The sequence below is a fragment of the Homo sapiens genome, chromosome 13 (genome assembly GCF_000001405.40).
Source record: "Homo sapiens chromosome 13, GRCh38.p14 Primary Assembly".
Taxonomy (NCBI): domain Eukaryota; kingdom Metazoa; phylum Chordata; class Mammalia; order Primates; family Hominidae; genus Homo; species Homo sapiens.
This window is the reverse complement of record NC_000013.11, coordinates 19474881-19492122: the sequence shown is the minus strand read 5'-3', so window position 1 is coordinate 19492122 and position 17242 is coordinate 19474881. Positions and strand designations below refer to the sequence as shown.

At 37.5% G+C, this 17242-nt stretch overlaps 1 protein-coding gene across 7 annotated transcripts in view; it reads left to right on the top strand.

Annotated features, from left to right (window-relative positions):
* The window catches only part of TPTE2 (transmembrane phosphoinositide 3-phosphatase and tensin homolog 2), a 138698-nt gene that overhangs the window by 69452 nt on the left and 52004 nt on the right, over positions 1-17242 (top strand). For 3 of the 7 annotated variants that reach the window (NR_073485.2, NM_001395978.1, NM_199254.3), the window contains 2 exons: positions 9576-9635; positions 16500-16550. The exons of 3 other annotated variants lie outside the window; for them this stretch is intronic. Coding sequence is in view for 3 of the 4 variants with exons in the window: in NM_001395978.1 (NP_001382907.1) it covers positions 9576-9635; positions 16500-16550 (111 nt within the window). In the remaining variant the exon portion in view is untranslated. The remainder of the gene's footprint in view (positions 1-9575; positions 9636-16499; positions 16551-17242) is intronic. One more of the 7 variants, NM_001141968.2, reaches the window with a different exon arrangement.

Genomic DNA, 17242 nt, shown 5'->3' with positions numbered 1-17242 from the left:
TCATAAAGGTGTAAGTAATACGGAAAACCTGATTCAAGTTAATTATAGTGTAATGCTCAAGAAACCTTGCAAAATGAATGAGATTTTACAGAAGGAATAAAAGGATTGTGTTTAATCAGTGGCTGATTAAGGGAACATCTAGGTAAGAATTCTGTAGTTGCTCATTAAGCAATAGCATGTGAGTTTTGTATGTAGCATTGATTTTTAAGCCAATAAATAAATTTTTAAAAGAATTTATTTTATAGGACGTTGGACGCATGGGCAAATTAAAATGTATTTCTATTATTATTATTATTTTTTGAGATGAAGTCTCGCTGTTGCCCAAGCTGGAGTGCAGTGGCGCGATCTCGGCTCCCTGTAACCTCCATCTCCCGGGTTCAAGCGATTTTCCTGCCTCAGCCTCCTGAGTAGCTGGGACTGCAGTCATGTGCCACCATGCCCGTCTAATTTTTTGTATTTTTGGTAGGGGCGGGGTTTCACTATATTGGCCAGGCTGGTCTTGAACTCCTGCCCTCGTGATCCACCCGCCTTAGCCTCCCAAACTGCTGGGTTTACAGTCATGAGCCACTGCGCCTGGCTAAAATGTATTTTTAATATGTACATAGGTTTAATTTATATAAATTTAATTAATCTCTGATTAACTGACCATTGGTAAATGAGTCTTTGTTAACTGTTGAATTTTACTTACTGGGCTTATGTGGTAGGATTTGCATACCCTCACTTATTATATATGTATGTATTTCATATTTATGGAAAATCTACTCCTTTTGGTGCAAAAAATGTATTTGCTAATAGTGTCAAAAAGAGAAATTCATTATATGTCTATGTACCTTTTTACTCCATCAGCACTGTCTTCAGTGAAATGACAACAGTAACACATGAAGGGACCTTCCACAAAATTTGAGGTTTAAGTAAATAAAAAGCTAGATGTAAACATATATATGTAAATACACACATAGACACACACAAAAGTATACATGTAGAAAGGAGAGATTCAGATTTGGGAAGTTCATTGTATGGAGCATCCATAACAATACAGAGTGTTTTAGACACTGTTTTCTAAAGTCTTATTTCTGTAGTATCTGCAGGTACCTTTCTTTCTTCGATCTAGTTGGATAAAAGAGGAATAGGTCTTAAGAGGAATGCTTCTTATTCCTATTCCATTGGTCACCCTTATTTAGCAGCACCCTGAAACCTTAGGAAAATATGAGAATGTGTGTAGTGTATGACACTCTACTAGAGTGAGCCAAAAGAGGCAACAGTCCTATTTGGTGCAAGGAGGAGGTAACAGTGGGCAGGGAGCTGAGGAGCTCTCAACAGAAAAGAGCAAAGCTAATAGACCCCTGGTCTCTTCGTCTGTTACCACATGAGGCTACTGCCCCAAAGGTAAACCCACCATCAGATCGTATGCAGGCCCTGCCTTGGGTCTGTAGTTACTTAACCCTATCTGAGGGGCAGGAAAGACATCCATGATTGGTGAAGAGTTACTGTTGGTATTTGAGAAGGCAGAAAATTACAAGGGCAAGCAAGGTGGGTATTTACAAACTGAAGTTGATTTTATGTAAATTTTGCCAGAAACAGTAACTTGGGGATGAGGTTTAGGAGTAAAGAAATGTATATAAACTTGATTCATTAAGTTTTTTTCACAGGCTGAAAAATTCCATTACAGACATCTAAAACCTCATTTCCAGAGAAAAATTAAACACCATGTTTCAAAGAAATAACTGATTAATGTCCATTTTTCAGGGTAACTAGATTATAAATTGTAGAATAATTATTGCTAATTTGTATCAGAAAATTAAGTCTAGGATAACATGTGGAGTCTTGCTATGTTCATTTTTAATCCTTTAGCTATTGAATTAAAAAGAGCAATGAGTGGTAGAGTCATCAATGATGGGTGAGATTTCAAAATATGGAGAGAAAGAAGAGAGGGATATATTAAGATTGGTAAAATTCACTCACAAATGAAGTAATAAAGAACTGCACTTAAGTTGTGATTCATTAGATTGTTTGTTAAGGCCCAAGAGCACCTTTACATAATATAAGCTTTTCTTCTAGGAAAAAATGATATATTAATAGTAGATTCCAAATCATTGACATATACATTTTCAGAGTTCAACCAGTTTATAAATGTAGAGCAATTGTACATAACTTCAACCAGAAAAGTATGTCTCTGAAGTCACTTGACCTGATGTGTACATTTTTAATCCTTAGCACTGGCCCGGATAAAATGACATCAGTAGTCTTTCACTACTTTGATATATCTTTGATATAACTCACCTTTCAGTGGTGGTGTCACTGAAAACTACTGATGTTATTAATTTGAGTCAGTGCTAAAGGATCTACACACACACACACATATAACACACATGTATATATGTGTGTGTGTATATATATATACAGATATATCTTTTAGCTATATATGTAGTATATATAGATATATAAATATGTATTTGTGTATATAGATATACACATATCTATATACATATGTCTACATATGTGCATATTTAAATGTGTGTATATATATATCTATATATACATATCTATGTATAGATATATTCTTTAGCACTGACCCAAATTAATAACATCAGTAGTCATATATATATCCTCTAATATATATATGAGCATGTGTATATATATGTAAACATATATGTATATATCCTTTAGCATATATATGTATATATACACATATATAGTTTACATATACATATATGTGTGTGTATATGCAGGTATATCTTGTTTTATTGTGCTTTACTTTATTGCCCCTCAGATATTACTTTTTTATAAACTGAAGGTTTGTAGCAACCCTGCATTGAGCAAGTCTCCTGATTTTATTTTTCCAACAGCATGTTCTCACCTTGTGTCTCTGTCACATTTTAATAATTCTTGCAATATTCCAAACTTTTTATTATCATATCTGTTATGCTGATCTGTGATCAGTGATCTTTGTTGTTACTATTGTAATTGTTTTGGGGCAACACGAACCATGCCCATATTAAGGTGACAAGCCTAATCAATGACATGTTTGTTCCGACTGCTCCACTGACTAGCCATTCCCCCATCTTTCTCCTTCTCCTTGGGCCTCCCTATTCCCTGAGTCACAACAATATTGAAAGTAGGCCATTTAATAAGCCTATGATGGTCTCTGAGTGTCCTAGTGAAAGGAAGAGTCACATGGCTCTCACTTTAAACCAAAAGCTAGAAATGATTGTGAGCAAGGCTAGACTTCTTGTAGCAGTTCAGCCAAGTTGTGAATGTAAAACAAAAACAAAAACAAAACAAAACAGAAAAGCCAAAAAACTTCTTGAAGAAAATTAAGACTGCTGCTCCACTGAACATACAAATGATGAGAAAGCAAAACAGTCTGATTGCTAATCTGGAGAATGTTTTAGTGGTCTGGATAAATGATCAAACCAGCCACAGCATTCCCTTAAGCCAAAGCCTAATCCAGGACAAGGCCCTCACTCTCTTCGATTCAATGAAGCCTGGGAGAGGTAAGGAAGCTGCAGAAGAAAAGCTTGAAGCTAAAAGCTTGGTTCATGAGGTTTAAGGAAAGAAGCCATCTCTATAACATAAAAGTGCAAGGCAAACAGCAAGTGCTGATGCAGAAGCAGCAGCAAGTTATCCAGAAGATCTAGCTGAGATAATTGATGAAGGTGGCCAAACTAAACAACAGATTTTCAATGTAGACAAGATAGTCTTTTATTGGAAGAAGATGCCATCTAGGACTTTTATATTTAGAGAGGAGAAGTCAACGCATGCTTTCAAATCTTCAAAGCAGAGGCCAATTCTCTTGTTAGGGGCTAATGAAGCTGGTGACTTTAAGTTGAAGCCAGCAATCATTGACTATTCCGAAAATCCTAGGGCCCTTACGAATTATGCTAAATCAAGCAAGATGGGTGAATAGAGATGCCTGGTGCTCATCTCCCCTACGAGAAAAAACCGAGGCAACAAATACACGTCTAAGATTTGATTAGAGTATCAAAGGCATAGTCCTGGAGTGCAGCAAAGGAGTGCAGACACATCTGTGGTGACTGGAAGTTGCCACAGCATGGAAGCACTCAGCCTGTGCAGCCCCTTCTGCCCCATCTGGATTGAATTGGCCCAGAGACAGGAGGGACTTCTCATTGCAGGGTGAAGGTAAGCAGAAGATCCCTGTCACCCCACTGCCATCACAAACACAAAGTCTTTACAACAGGAGAATCTCACAGTCTTTGCAAGCCCTGAGGCCAGTTTGGAGTACTGCCAAGAATTGACAAAGCTGCATGTCCTGGACTAGGAGTACAAGGTGAAGACTTCCCACCCCCAGAGACTTAAGCTGCAGCAACACAGCACCATCTTGAGACCAGAGTCATCTCTTGAGTGTGCCCTCCTCTGGGGGCCAGTAGCCACTGTGCCTCTCCAGCACTGGAGCTTTATCTTCAGTACACCAAGCCCACATGGGTGGGTTAAAGCCACAATCCCAGCTGTGTGGAGGTTGGTCCCAGGACTGGCTGTAACTCAAGTAATGCAGAGCAGGGAAATCAACCCCCACCACCACACTTCCAGACAGAGGAATAATCTGCAGTCCCATCCAGGGTAAACTCACTCTTAAGACAGCCAAACCACTGCAAGCCCTCTCCCAAGTGGGAGAGGCCCCTAAGCCTCTGAGCAGCTGATACACCCCCAGGTCAACAGAGTGACTATGAGCCCATGCTCAGGACCTGAGAAACAGCCTTGCAGGCCCCATCCACCACAGACATGCTCCTGGCCTGCCCAGGAGCCCTCTGCCTTTGATAAGGGCCTGAGAAACAGTCCCACAGGCTGCCCCTAGCAGGCACACCACCGAGTGGGCCTTGCACCTGTGTCTCAGACCTGAGAGACAAGCAGCTGTGTATGCCCAAGTCTCAGGGCCGAGAAAGAACCCTGGGAGCTTACTCTGGCCAGCAGACTGTCAGGCCAACTAAGCAGCCACATACCTATGTCCCAGCTTGAGGAACAGCCCTTTAGGCCACCCCCCACAGAAATACTCCCAGGCCAACTAAGCAGCTGTGCAACCTTGCACGAGCCTGAGAAATAGTCCTGTATCCATTCCCAGCAGATGCACCTCCAGACTAGCCAATCAGCCATGAATGCCCATGTCCTGGACCTAAGAAAGAGCTCCATGGGCTACTTCCAGAAGACATGCCCCTAGGCCAGCCGAGCAGCCTCGTGTCCACATCCTGGCTTATAGAAGCAGTCCCCTGGGCTTCCCCTGGCAGGCACCACCCAGGCCAGCTGAGCAGCAGTGTGCCCACATCCTGAGCTAGAATAGCTCTATGGACTACCCCCAGCAGAAACACATCCAGGACAGCTGAGAAGTCATTTGACTGTATCCCAGGCCTGAGAAACACCCCCTCTTGGCCAGCCCTGGCAAAGATATCTTCAGTCCAGCTTAGGAGCTATGCAGCTGTATATTTGGCCCATGAGTTTCCCCCAGCAGACTGGCTGCAGGCCAGATGAGCAGCTGTGTACCCACATACCAGGTAGGGGAAACAGCCCTTCAGGCCACTCCTGGAGTGCATGCTTCCAGGCCAGGCAAACAGCTGTGTGCCTGCGTCCTGGGCCTGAGAAACTGTCCTGCAAAGCACATCTGGCAGTCATGCCCTGGTTGAGCAACTGCATCCCCATGCTCCTGGCTAGAGTGACAGCACCATGGCCAGCCGCATAAGGCCATACTCCAAGTTTTCTGACCCAGTGTATGCCTGCACACACCCCTACCCTGAGAAACAGCCCAGTGAGCCCACCCCTGGCAAGGCTGCACCACCATCACCACAAACTTCCTTAGCCGAGGCCACTGAGTAACTTGCAAATGTTACTAGTGTAGATCACAGCTGAATAAACTACATGGAGACTACACTTACTGCATCCATGTAGAACCAAGGCCAGTATACCCCAATGAACTGACATCCGAGACCTATTCATAGAAATAAATTCATACAAGTAAACCTACTCCATAAAATTGGAAAAGGTGACTTTTTCACCAGATGCATAGAAATCAATTTAGAAACACAGCAACCGTGAAAATGCAAGAAAACATGTCATCTACAAAGGGAAATAATAATTATCCAGTAATAGAACCCAATCATAAACATAAGAGATGACAGAAAAAAGAATAATCTTAAGGAAACTCAGTGAGATATAAGGTAATACAGATAGACAAGTCAATGAAATCAGGAAAACATGATTTGAAAGAGAAATTCAGTAAAGATACAGATATCATAAAAATAACCAAACAGAAGCCCTAAGAGCTAAACAGTTCAATGGATGAAATGAAAAAATACAATCAATGGCTTTACAGACAAGAACAAGCAGAAGAAATAATTTCTGAACTTGAAGACAAGTCTTTTGAAATAACACAGGCAGGCAAAAAAGGATAAAAAAGAATGAAAAAAGCCTACAGGATTTATGGGACACCATTAATTTGATCAAATATTCATATTATGGGCATTCCAGAAGGAAAAGTGAAGAGAAAATATGAGGAAAACATATTTAATAAAATGAGAGCATAAAACTTCCTAACTCTTGAGAGAGAGCTAGACATCTAGTTCCAGGAAGATCAAAGAACCCCAAATACATTCAACCCAGACATTATAGTCAAATTGTGAAAAATCAAAGACAAAGATTTTTTAAAATAGCAAGAGAAAAGTAACACATTTATAATGGAATCCCCATTAGACTAACAGCTGATTTCCCAGCAGAAACCTTAGGCTAGAAGAGAATGGGATGATATATTCGAAGTTCTGAAAGAAAAAAAAAACTTTCAGCTGAGAATATTATACCCAGCACAGCTATCCTTTACAAATGAAGAAGACATAAAATCTGTCATAGATAAAGAAAAACCAAGATAATTCATCACCACTAGACCAGCCTTACAAGAAATGCTCAAGGGAGTCTTACATCTGGAAGTAAAAAGATGATAACCACCATCATAAAAACATGCAAAACTTTAAAAGTTACTGTTAGAGTCAATGCATAAAGGAGAAAGAGAAAGGAATGAAGCCTTATCACTATAGAAAACTACCCAACTTCAAAAGTAAACAGGAAGAAAGGAATAAAACATATACAAAACAACCAGAAAACAATAAAATGTTGGAAGTAACTCCTCACCTACCAATAATAACTTTGAATGTTAATAGATTAAATACCCCATGAAGGATATAGACTTACTGAGTGGATTAAAAAATAAGACCTAACTATATTTTATCTAAAAGAAACTCATCTTACCGGTAAAGAAACACATAGACTGATAATGAAGGGATGCAAAAAGATATTCTATGCAAATGGAAGCCAAAAGTGAGCAGGGATAGCTATACTTGTATCAGACAAAACAGAGTTCAAGTTAAAAACCATAAAAATGGACAAACAAGATTATTTTGTAATAATAAAGGGTTCAATTCAGCAAGAAATATAATTGTAATATGTGTATAATTGTAAATATGTATGCACTCAAACACCAGAGCACCTAGATATATAAAGTGAATATTAATAGATCTAAAGAGGGAGATAGACCCCATTACAATAAGAGTTGGGCACTTCCATATCCCACTCTCAGCATTGGGCAAATCATCTAGACAGAAAATCAACAAAGAAACATCAGACTTAAACTCCACCATAGACCAAATGGACATAAATAACAAACATATACAGAACATCTCACCTAACAGCTGCAGAATACACATTCTTTTCATCAGCACATGAAACATTATCCAAGATAGACCATTTGTTAGGTTACAAAACAAGTCTCAACAAATTTTTAAAAATTGAAATTCTATCAGGTATCTTATCTTACCACAGTGGAATAAAACTAGACATTCATAACAAGAGGAACATTCAAAACTATACAGACATATGGAAATTAAACAACATGCCCTTGAGTTACAATGAGTGAAGAAAGAAATTAACAATGAAATTTAAGAATTCCTTGAAACAAATGTAACTAGAAACACAATATACCAAAACAGGAGACACAGCAAAAGCAGTTATTGAGAAGTATGTTTTTAGCTTCATCCATGTCCCTACAAAGGACATGAACTCATCATTTTTTCAGCAACCTATCGCAAGGACAAAACACCAAACATCACATGTTCTCACTCATAGGTGGGAATAGAACAATGAGAACACTTGGACACGGGAAGGGGGATATCACACACTGGGGCCTGATTGGGTAGGGGGAGGGGGGAGGGATAGCATTAGAAGATATACCTAATGTAAATGACGAGTTAATGGGCACAGCACACCAACATGGCACATGTATACATATGTAACAAACCTGCACATTGTGCACATGTACCCTAGAACTTAAAGTATAAAAAAAAAGAAGTATGTTTTTAGCAATAAATGCCTGGATCAAAAAATCTAGAAAACTTTCAAATAAACCACTGAACAATTCTACCTCAAGAAACTAGAATAGTAAGAACAAACCAAACCCCAAATTGTTAAAAGGAAATAAATAATGAAGACCAAACAGAAATAAACAGATTTGAGGCAAAAATTACAAAAGGTTAACAACAAAAAGCAGGTTTAAAAAATATCAACAAACCATTAGCTAGACTAATTAAGAAAAAGGGAAGAACCAAATAAGTAAAATCAGAAACAAAAAAAGAGACCTCATGACAGATATGACAGAAATAAAAAGAATTATTAGAGACTATTATGAGCAACTCTACAATAAATTTGAAAACCTAGAGGAAGTGGACAAAATTCTTGACCATACGACCTACCAAGACTAACCAAGAAGAAATAGAAAACCTGAACAAACCAAAAACAAGTAATGAGATTGAATCAGTAATAAAAAGGCTTTCAACAAAGTCCAGGACCTGATGGCTTCACCACTTAATCCTCACTTGTGAAAGGAAGAGTCATTTGCCACAGCAAACTTCATTTTCCTATTTTAAGAAATTGCCTCAGCCACTCCAACCATTGGCAACCACCACTCTGATCAGTCAGCAGCCATGAACATGGAGGCAACGCCCTCCACCAGCAAAAAGACTGTGACTTGCTAAAGGCTTAGGTGATCATTAGCATTTTTTAACCAATAAAGTAGTTTTTAATTAAAGTATGTACATAAGTTTTTTGAACATAATGCCATTGCAAACTTAACAGGCTACAGTGTAGGGTAAACATAACTTTTATATGCACAGGGGAACCAAAACATTTGTGTGAGTTGCTTAATGCAGTTTTTGCTTTATTGCAGTGGTCTGGAATGAAACCCACAATGTCTTTGATATATGTCTATACCTATATTATTTATATATTATATATCTGTATACATATTCTTTTATATATCTTTATATACATATATATAGAAAGGGACAGAGAGAGAAAAGAAGATAAAAATATGCAAAATTAAGTGTTGGGAGTATCCATGAGGAAAGAGTTTCTGGTTAATGATTGTAATTTTCTTTCTTAAATATTAGGTCTTCCAGTGAGCTAAGTCATGTTTACTATATCCTTTAGATTCATGGGATTCTTGTTATTCAAATATATTTTTCATCACTATTTTGTGTAGCAAATATCTAATGATATATTTTTGCATTTTTTTTTGGTGGCTAAAGTATGTTAGAACGACTTTCCAAGTTTGAAGTTGAAGATGCTGAAAATGTTGCTTCATATGAGTAAGTCAGTTTGAAGTTTGAAAGGAGGGAGCCATTGATGGATCTCTTACCTTTAGTGAAACAGGGCTTCCGCTAAGGCAAGAAGGAAAAAGGGAAACTATGGAAAGATATCAAAATGTATGGTGGGAGGGTACACCGTATTTACTCCAGTTGAATTCTTAGACAAGTATTATTTTGAAAAAAAAATTCCATCCATTCAGAAATAAATGTTCTTCTAGCTTGAAAATGTAAAAAGTATTCTTAGAGGAAATTAATTCCATTAAAAGTTTTTTTTTAAAAAACAGGAATGCAGAATGCTACTTAACTCATCAATAGTGAACGTTTCTCATTTTTACTGGATATGGTGTGATTCCCAATTTTGTAGATTTTCCCTATGAGCAAATAGTATTGATAGCAAAAGCAAACATGTTTTGCTGACTAAAGACCTCTTTATGCTCATTGGGATTTTATTCTTATTTGTTTCTAATCTCACTAGAGTACTTCCTGTTGCACTGACCTGAAGGCATTTTATCATGTACTCACTGTAATGAAACAATACATTCTTAAACTGGCTTGTGTCTGAACTGCAGACATATTCAGGAGATTTTTCTTCTGCTTCTTTCTTGCCCAGTTGTATAACCATTCACCAGCTTGTGTCAATGCTGGAGAGGAAGTACTGCCATAGAGGAAGTTAACTCACCATGGTTGTAAGCTGTTGGTGTCTAAACAAAGATTGGAAACAAAGAGGGCAAATACAAGTAGTTTTTCAAATTGCCCTGAATTTGCCACTGAATTAAACTGTGTGTCTGCAAATTAGCTATACGTTTTCTGTAATGGAGCTGCCCAGGGCCGAAACAAAATTAGACAGATTAAGCAAGGCAAGCATTTCCTTCTTTCCCCACTCCAAACAAAATAAAGCAGGTTTTCATTTTATTTTATTTTTAAATTACAAAGTCTCATTACATAGATATAGGAGGAATTTGCAGTAGTCCCTGTGAGAAATGCTGGTGTTTCATACCAGGGGGATGATATTGGATTTATAGTAAAAGCTGGAATCAGTGCTTGGCTTTGACATCATATATTCATTCACCTGATACTCAGCAAGTCACTAACCCTCTTTAACTTTCAGATTATTCAAATGTAAACTGGCTATGATGCAATCTATGTACTGGATATTGTATTGTAAAAAATTAGTAATAAAACGAAAATAACATGCAAAAATACTTTGAAAACTCTGTAGTTCTGTAAATAGGTTTTATTCTAAAAACTGAAAATAATGTAAGAGTTCATTAAAGGAAAATCTGAAAATACAATCAACAAATCTAACCACATATAGTCATTCTTAAACTTTGATGCATGCACTTCTAAGTTCTTTAGGCATATACTTTTTTGTTTACAGATATGAGACCATACTTATTCTTTTGTAAATAACCTTATTACTTAATGACATCATGACTATATTTTTTTGTTAATATATATTCATGTGCACTTACAACATTATTTGCAACAGTTGTGTAATATTTCATGGTGTAGATGAGCTATAATTCATTTAATAGTCAGATATTGCTGAACAATTAAGTTTTTTACAAGTTTTTAACTGTTACAAAAATGAATATATTTGAGGCTAAATGTCTATATTGTTGGTTATTTGCTTGTTATAAATTCTCAGAAGTGGAAATTCTGTGTCAAAGGGAATGATTGTGACGCTATTGATATTGATATGTGCTTTAACATCAAGATGCAAAGTGTACATTTCTCCCCCCCACACTTAACACTAGCCATCATTGATTTCTCTGATATTAGTAAATATATTTGTTCTAATGCACATTCTTTGACACACCTTCATTTATCCTTTTCTGTCTTTGGACTGAAAAGTTAAATCTATTGATCCTTTTTCTATTTTATGTAATATAAGCAATTTCTCCCAGGTTGTCTTGCTTTTCACTATATAAAAGCATTTAATCCTCATGTAATCAAATGTATCTGTTCCTTTCTTTGTGATTTTGCCTTTAATGTTATTCTCAGAAAGTCCTTCTTACCCCAAGATTTTAAATATATTCACCAAAATTTCTGTTTTGAATTTATTTTCTTCATTTAAATAAAATATCTGCCCTGAATTTACTTTGTCTTAAGGTATAAAGTGTAGAAATTTACTTTTCTCCTAAGTGACTCATAGTTTTCTCAGCATGAAAATGTCATCCCCCTATATTGTCCTTACCCTGTTTTAGTGATCTAGAGTGAGCAGGAAGACCAGAGTCACTACAGTGTTTTTCATGCTTTACATCATGGCCACCTCCCTACCCCCAGAGTCTGTACCAGAGAAAAACGTGTCCAGTGGGAGAGATAGCACCTGCCTTCAATACAAATCCCATTTCATTAAACATGGTCTTGTTAGTGTCATGTAGCTTCCACCTTCTATTGATAAAAAATGAGTCATGTTCATAGTTAATATTTGTGCTTTTAATTCAACTTTGATATTAATATTGGAACTTTTAGTGTTTTAAGGTTTAGTATCTCATATCTTTTTCTATCTCTTTTTTTTTTTTTTGAGCCGGAGTCTCGCTCTGTCACCAGGCTGGAGTGCAGTGACACCACTCAGCTCACTGCAACCTTGGCCTCCCAGGTTCAAGCGATTCTCCTGCCTCAGCCTCCTGAGTAGCTGGGACTACAGTCACGCACCACCACGCCCAGCTAATTTTTTGTATTTTTAGTAGAGATGGAGTTTCACCATGTTGGCCAGGATGGTCTCAATCTCTTGACCTCATGATCCGCCCACCTTGGCCACCCAAAGTGCTGGGATTACAGGCGTGAGCCACCGCGCCTGGCCTCTATCTCTTTATTTTTGAATTGTCATTTAAATTTAGTTTTTGTCACATGTAATGCCTTTAATTTCAAAGTTATCTGAGAGTATTTCTCAATATGCAATATGAGAGTAATATGTTTGTATTTATGATTTCTGGTATGTTTGGTTTTATTTATCATCTTTTTCTTTATTAAAAATACTTTGATATTTTCTTTGTAAATTTGTCTATATTTTGCTATTAATTGATTTGTTTTTATCCCTTGCATTTTTTATTGATATGCAAGTCAGAAGCCCATTTCTAGTCTATCAATGTTTATATTTAAATGCTTAGAAAACATAATTATACCATTTTTTCCATCAATATCGAGATGTACCTGTGAAAGATAAGAAATGCAACCTGCCTTTACTTCTGTCTTCTTCCACACCTTGAATCCTAGTGTAAGAATGCCTAAAAATTCAAATCAATACTATTATTCATGATTTTATATTATTTATCTTTACTTTTAGAATCATTTATTTACATTTTCACCTGCTACATTTTTTTATTATTATACTTTAAGTTCTAGGGTACATGTGCACAATGTGCAGGTTTGTTACATATTTATGCATGTGCCATGTTGGTGTGCTGTACCCATTAATTCGTCATTTACATTAGGTGTATCTCCTAATGCTATCCCTCCCCAATCCCCCCACCCCATGACAGGCCCCGGTGTGTGATGTTCCCCTTCCTTTGTCCAAGGGTTCTCATTGTTCAATTCCCACCTATGAGTGAGAACATGCAGTGTTTGGTTTTCTGACCTTGCGATAGTTTGCGAGAATGATGGTTTCCAGCTTCATCCATGTCCCTACAAAGGACATGAACTCATCCTTTTTTATGGCTGCATAGTATTCCATGGTGTATATGTGCCACATTTTCTTAATCCAGTCTATCATTGTTGGACATTTGGCTTGGTTCCAAGTCTTTGCTATTGTGAATAGTGCCACAATAAACATACATGTGCATGTGTCTTTATAGCAGCATGATTTATAATCCTTTGGGTATATACCCAGTAATGGGATGGCTGGGTCAAATGGTATTTCTAGTTTTAGATCCTTGAGGAATCACCACACTGTCTTCCACAATGGTTGAACTAGTTTACAGTCCCACCAACAGTGTAAAAGTGTTCAATTTCTCCACATCCTCTCCAGCACCTGTTGTTTCTTGACTTTTTAATTATCGCCATTCTAACTGGTGTGAGATGGTATGTCATTGTGGTTTTGATTTGCATTTCTCTGATGGCCAGTGATGGTGAGCAATTTTTCATGTGTCTGTTGGCTGCATAAATGTCTTCTTTTGAGAAGTGTCTGTTCATATCCTTTGCCCACTTTTTGATGGGGTTGTTTGTTTTTTTCTTGTAAATTTGTTTGAGTTCTTTGTAGATTCTGGATATTAGCCCTTTGTCAGATGAGTAGATTGCAAAAATTTTCTCCCATTCTGTAGGTTGCCTGTTCACTCTGATGGTAGTTTCTTTTGCTGTGCAGAAGCTCTTTAGTTTAATTAGATCCTGTTTGTCAATTTTGGCTTTTGTTGCCATTGCTTTTGTTCACCTGCTACATTTTTATGCTACATTAACAATTATTATTTAGACTTACCTAATTTTGAGTTTATATTATTTACCATCTTTTCTCTGTAAGTCATCTTCCTTATTTCTGTGTTCTTCATTTTGATTCATTGCTCAGCTGACTCAAGCACTTTGAGTAATTGTTTTTAGGAAAGGTACATGGAGGCTATGCTTCGTGTTGCTTCATGTTGGAGTGTCTGTCTGTTGCTCCCGAGTGTGAACAGTACTTTTCCTGGATATGGATTTACTGAGTCATAGTTATTTCCCTGCAAACTCTGCACATAACTGCTTGAAGCTGCATTTACATAGTACACTTTTTTTAACCAAAAAAGTCTCAATTGTGTATTTACTTGGTATAGTTTCAGGGAACACTGAAACAGATTAAGGGGCTAAAGCCACCCAAGCCACTTCTTCATGCCTTCATAATCTGTCAGACTTGGTTCTGTATGGTGACATTGTCAAGTGAGTTCAGATTTATGACATTTCCTTGATACCTGGAGATCCAGTAGACTGTGTGGGATCAGAGGTTCTTGTAGTAAGGGCATGGCAACTTGAGGAGAGAATTCACCTCTTTTGGCCAATTGATCCTCCATCTACATCAGCCTTAACTCTCCAAGCCTGGGCGGAGGTGGTGGGTCCAGGTGGAGAGGGGAAGATTAGACGGATTGGGGATTTCCTTTATCTCAGGTTAACCTAACATCATTCATCAAAGGCCAATTTTATTTTTTTTAACTTTTATTTTAGGTTTGGAGGTACACGTGGGGTTTGTTATGTAGGTAAACTTGTGTCAGGGAGGTTTTTTTTTTTTAACATATTATTTCATCATCCAGGTATTAAACTCAGTACTCAAATAGTTATCTTTTCTGCTCCTCTCTCTCCTCCTACCCTCCCCACTTAAGTAGACCCCAGTGTCTATTTCCTTCTTTGTGTTCATCCGTCCTTATGATTTAGCTACCACTGATAGGTGAGAACATTCAGTATTTGGTTTTCTGTTTCTGCACTAGTTTGCTAAGGATAAGAGCCTCCAGATCCATCCATGTTCCCACAAAATACATGATCTCATTCTTTTTTTATGGCTGCATAGTATTCCATGGTATATATGTACCACATTTTCTTTATCCAGTCTGTCATTGATGGGTACCTAGGTTGATTCCATGTCTTTGCTATTGTAAATAGTGCTGCAGTGAACATTCATATGCATGTATCTTTATAGTAGAATGATTTATATTCCTCTGGGTATCTACTCAGTAATGGGATTGCTCAGTCAAATAGTTCTGCTTTTAGCTCTTCAAGGTATTGCTATACTGCTTTTTACAGTGGTTGAACTAATTTACACTCCCACCAACAATGTATAAGTGTTCCCTTTTCTCTGCAACCTTGCCTGCATCTGTTATTTTTTGACTTTTTAGTAATAGCCATTCTGACTGGTGTGAAATGGTATCTCATTGTGGTTTTGATTTGCATTTCTCTAAAATCTGTGATATTGAGCTTTTCTTCGTATGCTTGTTGGCCACATGCATGTCTTCTTTTGAGAAATGTCTGTTCATGTCAAAGGCCAATTGTCAGTGCCCCAGTTCTGCTCAGTATCTGCCCTCTTTGTTCTCCAGTCTTAGGCACAGGCTGTGAGCATTGTCTTAGGATTAATGGCTCTCGGGGTGGAATTTGAGTCCTGTGTTGGAGGCTTCAGTATGACAGAAACTTCCTGAAGACTTCTCCTACTGAAGTCTCCTGTGTTGGAGGCTTCTCCTCCTGAAGAGCCTCCAACACAGGAGGCTTCAGTAGGACAAAAAAAATTGTTCCTCATCAGCTACTTTGTCTCCAGCCATAAGGTAAAATGAGGCATTATTGGAGGCTCTATCAAACAGGTTCTCCTTCCTTTGATTAATGGAAGGAGCCCAGTCTTTCGGGTGTTTGTCCTTTGAAGTATATCTTACTAAAATGTCTTACCTCTGAAGTTCATTTGCAACCTCATATGTGACTCTTGCTCATGTGTATCTGTTCACTAGGTGTCTAGTTTGAGGAGATGACAAGAGCATCATTTACTCTCCCTATGCTCATTCCTGAAACACCTTATTTTATTGCAGTGGAAACTGAGATCTGGCCAAAGTTTGATGATTTGCCCAGGCTGGCATTAAAATACGGTTCTCTTCTACCAACCTTTTCTGTCTTCATGCTATACTCCTTGAGTTGATGACCACAAGTTTAAGTTTAGTATTGCCATAAAGTTGGGGTTGGGGCTTTGCATGCAATGGAAATGTTACTAAACATCCAAAGTTTACTGTCTTCTGGATAGCATAGTAAACAAGTAAAATACTCATGGAGCAGGAAGAATAAAATTTTAGCTATTAGTAAAAAGCATTTTGTTATACAACTTCTGAATAATTTTCTTTTAAAATTATATTTATAAAGGCCTTTGTTTTTTGGTTAAATTTACAATATAAGAAGAAATCTGGTTAATTTTATTTTTACTTCTTTTTGCAGCAGCAAGATTAAGAAAATTGTGCATTCAATTGTATCATCCTTTGCATTTGGGTATGTGAGACATAGAAAACACCATGTATTAAATATATCTGAGACTTGGCTGGGTGCAGTGGCTCACGCCTGTAATCCCAGCACTCTGGGGGGCTGAGGCGGGCAGATCACATGAAGTCAGGAGTTCAAGACCAGCCTGGCTAACATGGTGAAACCCCATCTCTACTAAAAATACAAAAATTAGCCAAGCATAATGGCAGGTGCCTGTAATCCCAGCTACTCAGGAGGCTGAGGCAGAAGAATCGCTTGGACCGAGGAGGCATAGGTTGCAGTGAGCTGAAATTGCACCATTGCACTGCAGCCTTGGCGACACAGCAAGACTCCATGTAAAAAAAAAAAAGAAAAAAAAATATATGAGTCTCATATGCATCTATACATACATATATATGAGACTTAATACTTCAATGAGAAACACTGAAATAAAATAACAAAAGAGCATTTCCACTGTCCATCAGTTGCTAAGTAGCCATGTGCCCCATCTAATGTAATGTAATTTATCATGGAATTTTGGTTTAAGCTGGACATTAAGAATTGCAAATAAATGGCTTTTGCCTAAGATTAATAGTAACATATTAATATTGTTTTTCTTCCATCTGCAAAAGTAACATTAATGAAAATCAAATGTTAAAATTCTATAATTATTAGTAAAGTGTTTTATTAAGTACCTTATACATCTGGAATTACTCTTTAGT